The sequence below is a fragment of the Homo sapiens genome, chromosome 19, assembly GCF_000001405.40.
Source record: "Homo sapiens chromosome 19, GRCh38.p14 Primary Assembly".
NCBI lineage: Eukaryota > Metazoa > Chordata > Mammalia > Primates > Hominidae > Homo > Homo sapiens.
Window position 1 is genome coordinate 1,301,818 of NC_000019.10, and position 17,390 is coordinate 1,319,207.

Below are 17,390 nucleotides of genomic sequence, written 5' to 3' on the forward strand. Positions count from 1 at the left end.
CGGCGTGGTGGTGCACAACTGTAGACCCAGCTACTCGGGAGGCTGAGGTGAGAGGATGGCTTGAGCCCGGCAGGTGGAGGCTACAGGGAGCTATGATCACACCACTGCACTCCAGCTTGGGCAACAAAGCAAGACCCTGCCTCAAATAATAGTAATAGTAATAATAATAATAATAATTTAGAGGTGGGTCTGGAATCTACTGGGGAGAGGGGTGCGGCTTCGAGGAACCTCTGGGGATCCCCAGAGCTGTGAACCTGACTGATTCTTTGGTTCTGTGCATCGTTTTGGGGTCAGACCTTGGGATGAGCATTTTATAGGGCCCGTATCCTTCATAGCCATCCATGGGCTTCAGTTTCCCTCTCTGGGAAGTAGCAACAGCCCACCTAGGGCTGGGAGGGGGCAGCTGGGAGGATGGAGGGAGGAGACGGGGCCTGTGCATGGCTGGCCCTGGGGACACCGCTGGCCGGCACACACCTGAACATGGTGGAATTCCTGGGCCTCAGGATCCAATCAAATGTTGTGAAATCTCCACTGGCAAGCTCTGCCTCTGTGTAACTCAGTTTCCCCACCTGCTCCAGGCCAGGGCAGGGGCTCTGTCATCTCCTAACCTCTTCCCCTTGCAAACGGCACATCTGTAAGTTCTCGGGTCCCAGGGGCCTTCATGCCAGGCACGCCCCGATTGAAGAAACTGAGGCACAGAGAGGCTGGGGGTGACGCGGCAGGTGACCCGGCCCAGGGGACTGAGGTCTTTACGGCTGGACGATGGTCGCCTGCATCCCACCCGCCGTGACGACGGCGTCTCCGGCACAATTAGCCGAGCGGGAACGCTCCCAGCTAATTAATTCAGCTGCGCTGGGCCCGGTGACGGGGGCCGCCTCCTAATGAGGCAGCCCAGGCACAAAGACCCCTGTGTGTGCCCCGCCCCGCCCCTGCCCAGCGCGGGGTGGACGCACGGAGGCACAGAGGGCCGGCCGGCCACCGTGCTGAGCACCGCGGGGGAGGCTCCACCATGCCCCACTCCACAGAGGACCCCGAGGCTCAGAGAGGGAGGCGACCCCCACAGCCCATTCATGCCGAGACCCCCACCCCAAACTGCAACGTGACCACTGGGACAGAGAGGACCAAGGACAGAATGAGATCAGGGATCATGAGAGGCATCCCAGTGCTGACTGTGATGCTGTTACAAAAACACAATAGTGTCCTTCCCTCCATTTTAAGTACAATTGCATGGATTTTAGTGCATTGAGACTTGTGCAGCCATCAGCTCTGATTCCAGAACATTCCATCACCCCAAAAGGAAGCCTTGTCCCCATCAGCCGTCACTCCTTATCCCCTCCCCTGGCACCAACGTATCCCCTCCTTCCCTGTCTCTGTGGATGGGCCTGTCCTGGACGTTTCATGGAAATGGGTCACACACTGTGTGGCCTTGCGTGTCTGGCATCTCTCACTGAGTGTGACGTCCTCAAGGTGCATCTGCGCTGTGGCCTGGGTCAGAGCCTCGCTCCTTTTCACAGCTGAGCACGTTCCGGTGCGTGGAAGGACCACGCTGTGTTTATCCAATCATCTATCCAGGGGCACTTGGGTACTTTCCACCTTTTAGCTATTATGACAATTGTTAAAAATACAATTTATTATTATTATTGTTTTTTGTAGAGATGGGGTCTTGCTATATTTCCTGGCTGGTCTCGAACTCCTGGGCTCAAGTGATCCTCCCGCCCTGGCCTCCCAGAGTGCTGGGGGTGCCAGGCATGGTAGCTCACCCCTGTAATCTCACCATTTTCAGAGATTGTCTCTAAAAAACAAAGAACAAAAACTCACAAGCCAAACTTCTTGTGATTACAGAAGTGAGCCACCACGCCCAGCCAAGATGCTTTTTTTAGATTTATTATTTAACTCTGTATTATTTATTAGAGACGGGGTCTCACTCTGTCGCCCAGGCTGGAGTGCAGTGGTGCGATCACGGCTCACTGAAACCTCTGGCTCCTGGGCTCAAGCGATTTGCCTCCCGCAGCCTCTGAGTAGCTGGCACTACGGGCATATTGTGACAATCTTATTATTTTTGAGACAAAGTTTCAATGCAAAAGGTGACTTTGCTTTTTCGTTTTTGTTTTTGTGTTTTTTTGAGACTGAGTCTCTCTGTCACCCAGGCTGGAGTGTAATGGCACGAACCCGGCTCACTGCAGCCTCCGCCTCCCACGTTCAAGCAATTCTCCTGCCTCAGATTCCCGAGAAGCTGGGATTACAGGTGTGTGCCAACTCGCCCAGCTAATTTTTGTATTTTTAGTAGAGATGGGGTTTCACCATATTGGCCAGGCTGGTCTCAAATTCCTGACCTGAAGTAATCCACCTGCCTTGGCCTCCGAAAGTGCTGAGAATACAGACGTGAGCCACTGCGCCCAGCCTAAAAGGTGACTTTGGGTAAATACACAAAGAATGGCTGAGCTCCTGCCTCTGGGCCTTTGCATGCACTGTCCCCCCAGCCCACCCCACTGCCCCGATGAACCTCTCTTGCAGATTGCAGCCAGGCTCCCCCACTCAGCCCCTTCCAACTCAGCTCAGATGTCACCTGAGCTCCTGGCCAGGAGGCTGTGGGTGCCCTTTGTGACTGTTTACTTACCTGACTCCTCCCCAGGCTGCAGCCGCTAAGGGCAGGGCTGGGTCTGTCCTGGTTATCGCCGGGACCAGTGCTGGGCCCAGAGCAGGGAATCTCCTGGGACCGTGTCATTGGCCACACGCAGACACGTGTACACACACACACGCGTAGCCCTGCGCTTGCACCTCCATGCCTGTGTACCCCTGTGTCGCCAGACACATGTGTTTTGGGCCCGAGCCTCTCAGGAACTGACCTCCACTCCCGCGCCAGACCCTGACCAGACCCTGGTGCCTGTCCCAGTGGCTGCATCAACGTGTCGAGTGGCCACTCACTCCAGGGGCTGTGCTGGGATGTCCCCGCCGGGTGTGGGCGCTCCTTGGGGAACCTGGTTACCCCCGACCCCAGCCCCAGTGAGACCCCAATGCCGGCTCCTGCCAGCCCTGGACGGCCATTGGTACGCTGGTCCCGCGCAGAGTCTTTTCCGCCCAGAGGATCCTGAGGGAAGTCATCTCCCTCCTGCCGGCCAGTTACTGCCGCCTCGGTGCCCGCCGCGGGCAGGGGGCAGCGGGAGGCTGCTAGGGGAAAGGAGGCCTGAGGCGCCCAAAACTCTTGAGTGCGGCTTGGGGTGGAACGTGCCGCCCCCCACAGCCCCGGTGGCCCAGGGCAGGGCTCTGCATCCCCCCAGACCTCACCACTGAGCCTCAGTGTGCCTGTCTACATCTGTGTTTGAGGAGAAAACCCCTTGGTCCCCACCCTCTGGTCCAAACAGCCATGATGGAGGGGGGCTCACTTTTTTTTTGCTTTTTAGAAATGGTGTCTCATTCTTCACCCTCAAAACTGAACGGAGGCTGGGCATGGTGGCTCCTGCCTGTAATCCCAGCAATTTTGGAGACTGAGGCAGGCTGATTGCTGGAGGCCAGGGGTTCAAGACCAGCCTGGGCAACAGGGTGAGACCCCCACCACCACCATCTCGGCAAAATAAAAATTAAAAAATTAGCCAGGCATGCTGGCACGCACCTCTGGTTCCAGCTACTCGGGAGGCCCAGGGGGAAAGATGCTTTGAGCCCAGGAGGTTGAGACTGCATTGAGCCATGATCACGCCACTGCACTCCAGCCTGGGTGACAGAGCCAGACCCTGTCTCAAAAAACAAACAAACAAAAATACTGAACAGCTCACACCAGTAATCCCAGCACTTTGGGAGGCCAAGGCAGGTAGCTCACTTGAGGTCAGGAGTTCGAGACCAGCTTGGCCAACATGGTGAAACCTTGTCTCTACTAAAAATACAAAAATTAGCCGGCCGTGATGGCAGGCGCCTGTAGTCCCAGCTACTCGGGAAGGCTGAAACACAAGAATCGCCTTGCAGGGATCCAACAGCCACATGGCAGTAATGAGAGGCTCCAGAAAAGAAAAGAAAACAAAACAAAACAAAAATAAGAAAAACAAACAAAATAAGGAGAAGAAAAAAAAAAGAAGCCCCCCCCCCCACCATCCCCAGAGGCCACAGCACTCTGTCCTCTGGTCCCCCAACCCAGCCCTGACACCTGCTTCTTCCCCAGGGCACCTCTCACTCACGGGTGTTCCCTCTTTGCCCTGGCTGGCACACCCTTCCCGAGTCTCCTCTGGGCTCTCCCCACCTTTTTTTTTTTTTTTTTTTTTTTGAGATGAAATTTCGCTCTTGCCGCCCAGGCTGGAGTGCAGTGGGGCGATCTCGGCTCACTGCAAGCTCCGCCTCCCGGGTTCACACCATTCTCCTGCCTCAGTCTCCTGCGTAGCTGGGACTACAGGCGCCCACCACCACGCCCGGCTAATTTTTTGTATTTTTAGTAGAGACGGGGTTTCACTGTGTTAGCCAGGATGGTCTCGATCTCCCGACCTCAGGTGATCCGCCTGCCTCGCCTCCCAAAGTACTGGGATTACAGGCATGAGCCACCGCGCCCGGCCTATTTATTTTATTTTATTTTTTTGAGACAGAGTCTCACTCTGTCGCCCAGGCTGGAGTGCAGTGGCACGATCTCAGCTAACTGCAAGCTCCGTCTCCCGGGTTCACGCCATTCTCCTGCCTCAGCCTCCCGAGTGGCTGGGACTACAGGCACCCGCCACCACGCCCGCTGTTTTTTTTTTGTATTTTTAGTAGAGACCGGGTTTCACTGTGTTAGCCAGGATGGTCTTGATCTCCTGACCTCGTGATCTGCCTGCCTCGGCCTCCCAAAGTGCTGGGATGACAGGCGTGAGCCACCGCGCCCGGCCACTGGGGCCACTTTCTATCAACCACACCTGGCTCGGGCATGCACCTGCCCTCCCCCATGCATACAGGCCCACATCCATGCCTTCAAATGGCCACAAAAGTGTGCGTGGCCATAGACATACATACTTGCAAGTGTTTCTCTTTTTGTTTTTTGTTTTTTGTTTTTTTTGAGACGGAGTCTTGCTCTGTCACCCAGGCTGGAGTGCAATGGCACAATCGCAGCTCACTGCAACCTCCGCCTCCTGGGTTCAACTGATTCTCCTGCCTCAGCCTCCTGAGTAGCTGGGATTACAGGTGCGTGCCACCACACCTGGCTAATTTTTGTATTTTTAGTAGAGACAGGGTTTCACCATGTTGGTCAGGCTGGTCTCAAACCCCTGACCTCGTGATCCTCCCGCCTCAGCCTCCCAAAGTGCTGGGATGACAGGCGTGAGCCACCGCGCCCGGCCTTTTTTTTTTTTTTTTTTGGACGCAGTCTCACTCTGTCGCCCACGAGTACAGTGGCGTGATCTCAGCTCACTGCAACCTCCGCCTCCCGGGTTCAAGCGTTTCTCCTGCCTCAGCTTCCCGAGTGGCTGGGACTACAGGCACGTACCACCACGACCCGCTTTTTTTTTTTTTTTTTTTTTGTATTTTTAGTAGAGACGGGTTTTCTCCATGTTGGTCAGGCTGGTCTTGAACTCCCGACCTCAGGTGATCCTCCCGTCTCGGCCTCCCAAAGTGCTGGGATTACAGGCCGCGCCCGGCCATCTCCACCTGCTTGAAGGTCTTGCCGTCGTAGACGCCCACCGTGCTACCCACCATCGCGGGCAGGAGAAGCACGTCCCGCGGGTGCGTCTTCACCACTTCCGGCTTCTCCGTGGGCGGCGCCCCCTTCTTGGCCTTGCGCAGGCGCTTGAGCAGCGAGCGCTGCTTCCGCCACAGGCCCGGGTTCAGCCGCCGCCGGCGCGCGCTGTTCAGCTGCATCCGCTGCTCCGAGGACATGTCCAGTAGCTGGTCCAGGTCCACGCCGCGCTGGGTGAAGTTGCGGAAGGTCTGTTTCTTCTGCTGCTGTACCTCTGCCGTCTTGCTGCATCCTCAGAATAGCTCTCCAGGCCCTTCTTTATGAGACAGGGTCTTGCCTTTGTTGCCCAGGCTGGAATGCAGTGGTGTGATCATGGCTCACTGCAGTCTTGACTTCTTGGGCTCAAGGGATCCTCCTGCCTCAGCCTCCCGAGTAGCTCGAACCACAGGTGCACACCACCATACCTGGCTAATTTTTGATTATTTGTAGAGATGGGGTCTTGCTACGGTGCCCAGGCTGATCTCAAACTCCTGGGCCCAAGGGATCCTCTTGCCTCGGCCTCCTAAAATGCTGGGATCACAGGCGTGGGTCACCGTGCCCGGCAAGCTCTGGGTCCTCCTGCACGGTCGCCTGGTGGAGCAGAAACCACCGCCAGCGGCTCCCCGTCTATTTGTCTGTGCACATTCCTGGGCTCAGACGGTGGCTTCCGAGGCCGGAACTTCGGAGTCACCTGCTCCGCACTTGAGTCTGGAACGTCTCAGACCGGACCCCTCCCTTTACAGCCTGAGAGAGGGAGAGACCCTGCCCAGGCCTCCCAGGGGCCTGCCCACCCGACAGCTCCTGACTCCCCCACCCTCATTGGTCCAGAAATGGAAGGCTTCGGCCCAGGAGCGATCAATGCACCCTAATGGACATGTGTCGGGGGGGGGGGGAGGGGCGCTGAGTCGCAGGAGACACCCTTCCCTGTGCAGAGGGGGAAACTGAGGCCACTCCCAGGCCCCATGGGTCACTGGCCCGAAGCAGTGTGAGCCCTGCCGGGTCAGGGGTTGCATCTGGAGCAGCCCAGGGAGAATGAGGCTGGGGACCCTTCATTCCGGGGGTCATTAGGGACACCCCACCAGGCTGTGTGTGCCCAGGGTGGTCTCTTCCCCAGCTCCGACTGCCCCGCCGGGTTTTGGGGCTTACGGTTCTGTCCTGGGCTCAAGTCCTGGCTCCCACCAGGCACTGTGGGGCATCCCCTCTGGGTCTGGGGTCCACAGTGCCTGTCTCCAGGCGTGAGAGAAGCTTCTAGAGACAATCTGTGAGCATCTTTCCCATCCCTGCCTCTCCCCAGCTCAAGCTCCGAAGGGAACGTGGATGGCAGGAGAGAGGAGGGAGGCGTGGGGCGAGTTTATCTCTCACTGGCTTTCTCCGCCCCCACCTGGCCTCCCCTGGGGCTTCTGTGATTCTTTGTTTTTTTTTTGAGGCAGGGTGTTTCTCTGTCCCCCAGGCTGGAGTGCAATGGTGCTATCGTGGCTCACTGCAGCCTCCACCTCCTAGGCTCAAGCAATCCTCCCACCTCAGCCTCTCGCGAGTGGCTGGGACCACAGGCACGCGGCTCCATGCTAGCTAATTTTTTTTATTTTTTGTAGAGATGAGGTCTCGCTGTGTTGCCCAGACTGGTCTTGAACTCCTGGCCTCTGGTGATCCTTCCACCTCAGCCTCTTGGGTAGTTGAGACTGCAGGCATGAGCCACCACACGTGGCTAATTTTTGTTTATTTATTTATTTATTTTTGTAGAGATGGGGTTTCACCATGTTGCCCAGACTGGTTTCCCAACTCCTGAGCTCAAGGGATCCTCCCGCCTTGGCCTCCCAAAGTGCTGGGATTACAGGCATGAGCCCAGTCTGAGACCCACTTTGTAGATAAGGAAGATGAGGTCAGAGAAGGGGAGTGCCCAGGCCCTGGGCCCCACAGCCGGGACCCCTTTAGGGTCCAGTGGATGGCGAAGGGGAGGCGGCCTGACCACTACCGACTCCAGCCAGTCGCCCCAGCCTCCAGGGAGAGCAGCACAGGTGCCCAGAGAAGCGACGAATCTGGATATTTCTTCCCCACATGAGGAGGAGCTGGGGGCACCTGAGTGGGTGGTCTCGGTGCTGGGCGGTCCTCATGGCCCCCTAAGCGTCGAAAACCAGAGCTTGTTATGATCTTGTGATGGGAAGGGGGCCCGCCTCTCGCAGGGACCGCTGTCGGCCCCCTCTGCCCGCCCACCAGGCGCTAGAGTTATGGTTTGCAATATCCCATGCCCCTCCCAGCCTGAGCATTAATGACGGTGGTATCCGAGTCCCCGAGCACCCGGGGCTGTTATTAACATCGTCCATCACGCTTGTGGCTGCGGCTCTAGAAGCTCTTTGGCTAGGAGGGGAAACTGAGGCACCGAGAGGTTCGCCTTGACCCCTGCGTGAGGGCACAGCTGCAGACATCGGATAAGCCCAGGTTCCAGTGCCCTCTCCACCACCCGCTGTGGGTGAGGCCCCTGTTCTCTGAGCCTCAGTTTGCTCATCTGGAAAACAGGCTAGTGACACAGGGTGGGGTCTCAGATCCTGGGGGCTCTTGATGAGCAGAATCGCCAGGCCCATGGAGGCAGGCCCTTTGTTGCCTGATCTCCCCGCCTTCCCTGTGATCCCATTGTCTGGCACAATGCCAGCAAGCCCTCCTCGGATGTTTGTTGAATGACTGAATGAGCGTGTTGTGTGTGGACTCTGAGTCAAGTGCTCTTTCTTGCCAACTGGGAAAGACTGGAGGCAAAGGGCTCATTCTCCATCATTCACTCCTCCAGGAAGGCCTAGGGGGCAGGGGTGGTGGTGGGGAACGGCCTCTCGCAGGTGAGGGGGGCAGCGGGGGAACCGCGGGAGTCAGCCGTGCTGGCTGGCAGATCTTTAAATTAAAATGCATATATACACCAGATAAATAAACTCGGCCCACATCCTGGTGACAGGCAGAATTAAGTTGCCCAGTTGGGGACCGGGCAGCGAAGGCTGGGGGTGGAAGGGGATGGGGCCGAATTACCAAGGGCGGCGACTCAGCTCCATCCTCTGCCACATTGTATCCCATGAACGTTCCTGAGACCCCTGTCCTGCCGGGTCTCTGGGAAGCGCTGAGGGGGTCAGGGAGTAAGGACCCAAATTCTGAGCCCCAAGTTGGGCACCCAGGATCTGGCCCGGCTTAGAGAGAGACCAGCTGCCCACGGGGTGCCCTGGGTGAGTCAGTGTCTTCGTCTGAAACAGGGAGACCATGGCCCCCCGTCCCAGCACAGAGGCTGCCCTTGGCAGTGGGCATGGGGCGGACCTGGTTCAAGTCCCGGCTGAGCACTCAAGGGCTGGGAGCAGCCTCCGTCGGGTCAGGTACCAGGGAGACCCCGTTCTAGCTCCCAGGGAGGCCCCCGTGGGGCCCGCACAGCTGCAGGGTCCTCCCTGGGCCCTTCCCTCTGACCCAAGCCCAGGGGAGAGGGGCGGAGGGGGCGGCGGGCAGTTTTCAATTACGGAGCAGCTAATCTCCCAGTGAGGGCCGTTCTGGGGCCCAGTAAATCTATTATGAAAAGCCTCTAAATGTATGTAAAACCGGCCTCCGACAATCCGGGGATTAGGCCGCCGGGAGGGGAAACCGAGGCGCAGGCCGCCTGGCGGATTAGCGCAGCGGGGCCCCTGGAGGGTTGGGGGGAGCAGTCCCCAGAGGTCCAGGGCAGAGGGAGAGGGGTCCTCTGAAGAAGCCAGCACCCATTTTATAGCTGGGGAAACTGAGGCCGGGGAAGGGCCCCCCCCCCCCCCCCACCAGGGGTCCCCTCTCAGCGTCAAGGGCACTTTTGCCAGCCGCTCCTGCCTTTGTCGCAAACCCAGGGGTATTTTCCCACAAGGTGGACTCGGTGGGTTTGAAAGATGGGGAGCTGGGGACCCCTGGACCCGGCTTAAGGCTCCGTGGCCCGGCCCGCATCTCCTGCCGCCGTCGCAGGCCCTTTGAAGCTGCCCCATCCTTTGGTGCTTTTGAAATGTCTTTATTAATCACCTACCGTTTGCCAAGCCAGAGGTGGCAAAGGTAACAGGAGACGGGAGCCCAGTGCCCTGGCAGCTCAGGGCACTCGCCAAAGACGAAGGCAGCCGGGAGAGGCCTTCCCCAAGGACTCCCGCTTCCGCTGGGAGGTGGGGAGGAGGAGGTCACCCCACAGAAGTGCGGTGAGGCCACTGCAGGCGCGAGGGAAGGCCTGGTGGCCGAAGGGAGGCGTGAGCTGAGAAGCCCCGTGCCTGGGCTGCTCCTGAGGGTGGCAGGGAGCCCTCGGAGGGCTTGAACCTAAGTGGCCCCTGCAGCATCCATGGCGGGACCGTGGACCTCCAAGCCCGCCTCCCTCGGAAGCACAGCTTCCTCAGCGTGGCCCCACACTCTCCCAGGCTCACCCAGCCCCCTCGCATAGGGCCTGCTCACCCTCCTGCCTGTGGGGCCCTTGGTCCAGCAGTTTCCTCTCCTGCACACTGTCCCCACCTGCTGAAGTCCGTCCAGGAGCCCAGGTGCATGATGGGAGGGGGTGATGCCCCTCCTCACCCCCACCTAGTGGAGTTTGCAGGCAGCTCTGCAGATCGCCTGGCAGCTGGAGAAACTGAGGCATAAGGCTGGGCGTGGTGGCTCACGCCCGTAATCCCAGCACTTTGGGAGGACGAGGCTGGTGGATCACCTGAGGTCAGGAGTTTGAGACCAGCCTGGCTAACATGGTGGAACCCCGTCTCTACTAAAACTACAAAAATTAGCCGGGCGTAGTGGCACGCACCTGTAATCTCAACTACTCGGGAGGCTGAGGCAGGAGAATTGCTTGAACCCGGGAGGTGGAGGTTGCAGTGAGCCGAGATTGTGCCATTGCACTCCAGTGTGGGTGACAAGAGCGAAACTCCGTCTCAAAAAAAAAAAAAGAAAAAATTGAGGCATGAGCTGACAGCTGTTTCTGCAGGCCTCAGGCAGCACCCGATGGGGCCTTCCCAGGGCCCCTGGCCTGGCCCGGCTCCAGCCACCAGCTTGTCCCTGCCTCCCAGGTGCTGGGGAATGAAAGGGAGGCGAGTGATTTCTCTGACTCCTTCAGGCCCAGGCCTCCGAATTCCTCCAACTCCCAGGTGAGGGGTTGTGCAAAGCTGCAGCAGGGTGGGACCGTCCCAGTGAGGGTGATTCTGGAGTCGGCCATGGTGGGCCTGCTCTGTGACCTGGGAGGGGGTGTGTGCCTGTCTGTGACTCAGTTTCCTCGTCCGTGTCATCAGCAACGGCCAAATGCCGTTCCCAGCACTGGATGGGGGTGGAGGGCCTGAGGGGTGTGGGTGGGGGGGAGCTCCAGGCGCCCCTGCCCCCCGCCCAGCCGTCAGTCAGGCTGGCCGGGCCCCCTTCAAGTCGTCACGGCCCAGCAGCGGCCACGGGAGGGATTATTCCGGCCTGTCCAGGGTGGACTGAAGTGGAACCAAGGCTGACGAGCGGAACGCGCCCCCATGGACCCAGCCCGCCCGCCTTTGTCCGCCGCCAGCCCCCCACCCGCCTGCCGTCACAGACCCCGCCTCCCGTGCCTGAGCCCCATTTCTCTGGGGGCCGGGCTGCCTCGCGTGGCCCCCGCCTGACTAAAGCCATGCAGCTTCTCGGCCGGCTCCATCCGCTGGCTGCCTCAGTTTCCCCCTCTGCAGCATGGGCATACAGGGTTCCTCTCGTCGGCTCATTGGCTGCTGAATGGGGGCTGTGTGGGCAGAGGCTCTCCCGGGGCTTTCCCAGGGTGCTCGGGGGTCCCTCTGCCCGGTCCCTCCACTGTGCCTTTGTCCAGGAAATTCGAGGTGGCAGGGAGAACGGATCCGCTCTCGGCCTGAACGGAGCCGCGGCAAATGCTGTTGACCCCTGACCCCGGCCCCCTAATCCCGGGGTTGAGGCTCTCACCGGAGAGGGGCCCTGGGAGATGAGCTGGGGCACGACCCCCGCCCCGGGCACCGAGGGGGGCTTCCAGGTCAGGGTCGGAGAGGCTTCGGGAGGACGCGGCTGCCCCATTGGCCACGTGCCCGGTCATCACCTCTCGGAGGCCAACACGGGAAACTGAGGCGTGGAGGAGCCCTCCTAAGCCCCACAGCTCTGGGATGGGAGCCAGGCCTAGCCACCTGCAGGGAGAGAGACACGGCCGGCAGCTGCCCCTCCCTGAGTCACCAAACAGGAATTCCGGGACGTCTGGCTGGCCCTGGAAGGCACGGCTAGCTTACAAACCCCCAGTCTTCAGGAACCTCTCTGGGTACCTGGCCCCTGTGTTCCCCGGGGAGGCCCCAGGATCCCCTTGTCTGGAACAGGGGGAGGGGCCTTTCTGGCCACCCTCTGCTGCTCTACATTTACCCAGTGTCTTCAGGAGGAAGAAATGAATGAATGAATGAAGTGGAAGGTGTCCTCATGCCTGCCAGCTGCTGCAGTCTAGCCCCCGTGCCTTGTGGCTACTTAGAGGCCTCAGCTAGCAGCATCCACCGCAGATTAAAAGATTCTCCGTCGGAGGCTGGGATGCGCTCACACGCTTGGGCGCCCCTGCGCTCCCCGGTGGCCGTGTGTCTGTTCCACCCTGCCGAGCTGTTCCCCACGATCAATTTCAATTTGGCCTGGTCTCTGCCTCTGCAGCACGACCCTCCTTGGGGGCCGACGGCGGGGAAGGAGTTGCTGGCTTCCGCAGCTCTCCCCCCAGGTCCCTGGGACCCTCGCCTGGTGAAGAGAGAGCTCTGCTGGGCCGCCTCTTTTTCCGGGCCTCAGTTTCTCTGGGTTTGGAATGAGGGCACAGGGCAGCGCAGTGTGGACCCAGCCTGGTTTTCATCCAACCTCATGAAGTCACTGAATGCTCGCCGTGGGCCTGACCCTGGGCTGAACCCTGGGGCACCGTGGGGGCTACGGCAGGCAAACGAGTCGGAGGCAGAGGAAGGGCGTTCCTGCAGGGGGGAGGCTGTGTGCAGAGGGGTAGAGGGAGGGAGGCAGGAGGGAGCGTCCTGGAAGAAACAGTTAAGGTGGGGCCACAGAGGAGGGTGGACAAGCCTAGGCAACAATATTCCTCAACAGCCGAAGTTTGTGTATTTGTTTTTTGAGACAGAGTCTCACTTTGTCACTCAGGCTGGAGTGCAGTGAGCTGAGGTGCGATCTCAGCTCACTGCAGCCTCAACCTCCCTGGCTCAATCGATCCTCCCATCTCAGCCTCCCAAGTAACTGGGACCACAGTTGTGTGCCACCACGCCCAGCTAATGTATTTATTTATTTATTTATTTAGAGACAGAATCGCTCTGTCGCCCAGGCTGGAGTACAGGGGTGCAATCTCGGCTCACTGCAACCTCCACCTCCTGGGTTCGAGTGCTTCTCCTGCCTCAGCCTCCTGAGTAGCTGGGATTACAGGTGCACCCCACCATGCCTGGCTTATTTATTTGTTTATTATTTATTTATTTTTGAGACAGTCTTGCTCTGTCACTCAGGCTGGAGTGCAGTAATGCGATCTCAGCTCACTGCAACCTCGACCTCCCTGGCTCAAGTGAGCCTCCCATCTCAGCCTCCCAAGTAACTGGGACCACAGGTGTGCACCACCACGCCCGGCTAATTTATTTATTTGTTTATTTAGAGACAGAGTCTTGTTCTGTCGCCCAGGCTGGAGTGCAGTGGTGCAATCTCGGCTCACTGCAACCTCCACTTCCTGGGTTCAAGTGATTCTCCTGCCTCAGCCTCCCGAGGAGCTGGGATTACAGGCACCTGCCACCACGCCCGGCTAAATTTTGTAATTTTAGTAGAGATGGGGTTTCACCATATTACCCAGACTGGTCTGGAACTCCTGAGCTCAAGTGATCCACCCGCCTCGGCCTCCCAAAGTGCTGGGATTACAGGCATGAGCCACCCACCACCCGGCCAATAGCCAACATTTATTGAGTGCTTACTGTGTACCAAACGTCAGCCGACAGGCTTTCCCTGCCTCATCTCCCTGCAACCTCCCAAGGATCCTCTAATACCCATTTTACAAATGAGGAGACAGGCCACAGACAGAGGCCGCTGTGAGGTGAGGGAAGGAGGCCACGGCCATGCTGGCATTGGCAGCACTGGTCCAGCTCAGACCTGTCCAGGTCCCCAGCAGGACTGCGGTGCGCCTGGCTCCTTCCTCTGCGCGCTCCATTCCCTTGCTGCTTCCTTCCGGGCCTCCAGGCTTCCCTCCTTTTCTAGGGTGGCGGTGGAGGAACCTATATGGGCTCCTGGGTGCTGGAGTTCGATCTGAACCTTCCCGCTCATTCTGCGTGACCTTGGGGGCGTGCCTGGCCCTCCCGTGCCTCAGTTTCCCCAGCCGCACCTGCCGGACTGTGAGGCCCCGACCCCCCGCCCTCTCTGGCCCCCCCGCGGCTCCGGGCTCAGGCCGCCGCTAGGTGGAGCGAGGAGGCCGGTGGAGACGCGGTGCGGGGAGACGCGCGCTCGGGAGCTGCAGAGGCCGGGGAGCGGGCCTGGCGCGCGGGTAGAGCTGCGTGGACGCCCGCGGCCCTTGGCGCTCAGAGCTCCCGCCCCGCAGCCAGCGCCTCTAGGAGGCCCAGCCGGACAGTCTGCGAGGGGCGCGCTCCGGGCGCAGGAGGGGCGGTGTCCGGGGCGCGTGGTTTGGGTCGTCGGGACCTGGATCCCGGAGCAGGCAGGCTGAGGTCTGCATGGTCAGGGCGGCCTCAGGTGCTGGGGAGCCACCCTGGCTGGACCTAGGGTCCCAGCTTCACGTTCACCTCCTGGAGCCTCAGGTCTGGGTCTGATGCCCCAACGGGAACCCCAAGCCCTGCCCACCGCCCGTCCTCACCTCTGCTGCCCCTTCACTGCCCCGACCAGTGGCTTCCGCCATAACCCTCTTGGGAGACCCATTTTTCATAGGAGGAAACTGAGGCACAGAGCGTTTTCTCGGTCACAGAACAGCTGGATCCCTCCTGTGTGATGAGCACCTCTGGGTCCTCCTGTGTCGTGACCACACCTGTGTCCACTTTCTGGGTCCTGGGCTGCAGAATGTCACCGCCCCAAATACCCTCTCGTGGGTGCTGTGGTTGGTTTCCTTGGCCTTGGGAGGGTCCTTTCTACTCAGGTAGGGATACCGTCTGGGTTCCCCCCCTACTGCCCCTGCAAGGCAGGGCTGGTGATCCGTGTGCACCCTGGGGGCCGTCTCATGTGTGGCTGCACCTTCCCACACCACGGCTGAGGAGAGGATCCTACCCACAGGTGCCCCTGGTGGGTTCAGCCGGCCCCTGCCGCGGGATCCTGCTTGATTTCTGGTACTCCAGGCCTCGCCACTGTCATTCCCGCTGGGCATGATGCGCACCTGCTGTGCCATGCTCTTGGGCAGCTCTCTGGGGTCACGGAAACTTCTGTGCCTCAGTTGCCTCCTCTGGAATGTGCAAATCCTTCGAGAAATAAGCTGGAAGACCTGGGAGCAAGCAGGCTTGGGTTTCCAGGTTTGGGGGGGGGGTGCCCAGATACAACCCCAAGGCTTTGGGAGGTGAGGGGACACCCTGCTGCTCCATCTGGACCCGCGCCCGTGAGCTCTGCTGCTCTGCGCCTGACCCACAGCTCTGTCCACTTGCCCCATATGGGTTCAAGGCACCAAGAATCAAGAATCCAGCCCTCTGGGCTGGATGCGGACACGGTGGCTCACGCCTGTAATCCCAGCACTTTGGGAGGCTGAGGCGGGTGGATCACCTGAGGTTAGGAGTTCAAGACCAGCCTGGCCAACGTAGTGAAACCTCATCTCTACTGAAAATGCAAAAATTAGCCAGGTGTGATGGTGTGGGCCTGTAATCCCAGCTACTCAGGAGGCTGAGGTAGAAGAATTGCTTGAACCTGAGAGAGGGAGGTTGCATTGAGCCGAGATATCGTGCCACTGCACTTTAGCCTGGGGGATAGAGTGGGAGGGATCGATCCAGCCCTCTTTCATCCCCTTCCCGCTCACTCCGACCCAACCTCCCAGTTCTGTCTTTAAAACAAGCTGCTTTTGTCTCTGCCCCAGGGCCTTTGCACGGGCTGCTCCATCCCTGCATGTGGCCAGCCCAGCAGCTCCCTCACTGCCCACCTGTGGCCGGCTGCATCCCTCCAATCTTCAGACACCCATTTTTTTTTCTTTTTCTTTTCTGTTTTATTTTTTTTGAGATGGTGGGGGTGGTCTCGGTATGTTGCCCAGGCTGGTCTCCAACTCCTGAGCTCAAGTGATCCTCCCACCTCGGTCTCCCAAAGTGCTGGGATCACAGGCATGAGCCACCTCGCCTGGTCTTGACACTTATTTTCATGTTCAGTTTGACCATATTTGTGACAAGTCAGAGACGATACAGCAAGGGGAAGAAGACACGTTCCCTTCCCTCTAGAAAGTCACAGTCACGCACAGAAGGCAGAAGGCTTGCAGTGCACAGCGACGGGATAAAGGAACCAGCTCTGCAACAGAGTGAGTGGCTCTGAGCTTTTGATCATTGAGATATAATTCACAGACCATGAGGTTCACCTGCTTAAAGCACTGAGCTATAACTCGCGGACCATGAGGTTCACCTGCTTAAAGGTGTAATCCAGTGGCTTTTAGCGTACTTGCAGAGTTGTGCAAACCTCACCTCTCTCTAGTTCCAGAACGTTCTCATCACCCCAGAAGGAAACCCCATCCCCATTAGCCATTGCTCCCCATCCCCACCCCAGCCCTGGCACCCAGGCATCCCCTCTCTGCCTCTGTGGGTTGGCCTGTCCTGGACACTTCATAGAAATGAGATCACAGACTGGGTGTGGTGGCTCACATGCCTGTACTCCCAGCACTTTGGGAGGCCGAGGTGGGTGGGTCACCTGAGGTCAGGAGTTCAAGACCAGCCTGGCCAACATGGTGAAACCCCGTCTCTACTAAAAATACAAATAAATTAGCCGGGCGTGGTGGTGGGCGTCTGTAATCCCAGCTACTCAGGAGGCTGAGGCAGGGAGAATTGCTTGAACCTGGGAGGCAGAGGTTTCAGTGAGCCAAGATTGTGCTGCTGCTGTCCAGCATGGGCAACAGAGCAAGACTCTGTCTCAAAAAAAAAAAAGAAAACTGAAACTCAGACAGCGACCCTCCTCTGCCTCAGTCCTGCGGTGGCTCCATGTGCCCCAGGATTAACGCACACTCCCCGGCCTGGCGGCACACTTTGCTGGGCACGGGGCGAGACCAGAAGAACCCAAAGAGGCCAGAGGGTCCCAGCTCAGCGAGGAGTGGGAGGTGCTTCCTTCTACCCAGATAAGAGCCTGGGAGAGCTGGGAGAGTGGGAAGTGGGGTCGCCCCGATTTTCCAGGGCAGGAAACCAAGGCTGGGGCCTTGGGCTAACACCCACGTCAGGCCCCGGGTCTCGCTGCCCAGAGGCTCCGGTGAGTGAAGCTCCTGGCAGCGTGCACCTGCGCCCGCCGGACCCGCCTCCCACCTGCCATTCCTGCCGGGGAGGGAAGGGCCACTGTGGGCGGCTCAGGGCCCCCACCGCTGTTTCCGGGCTCTTGGTGGGGTGGGGAGGGCCGCTGTCAGAGACCCCCTGAGACCCTCGGGAACACTGCCTGCCTAATGAGGATCCCTGGGGCCTCTGCCCAGTTCGGGCCGGGGAATAAAGGCCTCCTCTTCCATTCCGCTGTTTCTCCGCCCCCCGCCGTAATAGGATTGAGACTTTTGAAGTTAATAGGAAATGAGGCAGGCTCCCACGTACAGAATGCGGACGCGGAGGGCTTAGAGGGCCCTTTGTGAGCCCGGCCGGGCGGCTCCCCCCGCCGGCCGGCC

At 59.2% G+C, this 17,390-nt stretch overlaps 1 pseudogene, besides 1 other annotated feature; it reads right to left on the reverse strand.

Moving 5' to 3' along the window:
• On the reverse strand, nucleotides 5,588-5,928 carry RPS15P9 (ribosomal protein S15 pseudogene 9; annotated as a pseudogene).
• Nucleotides 13,938-14,217: a silencer, noted in NCBI's record as "silent region_9700". NCBI's record gives its function as "represses an Ori minimal core promoter by ATAC-STARR-seq in GM12878 lymphoblastoid cells {active_cell/tissue: GM12878}" and the evidence as "EXISTENCE:reporter gene assay evidence [ECO:0000049][PMID:35858748]".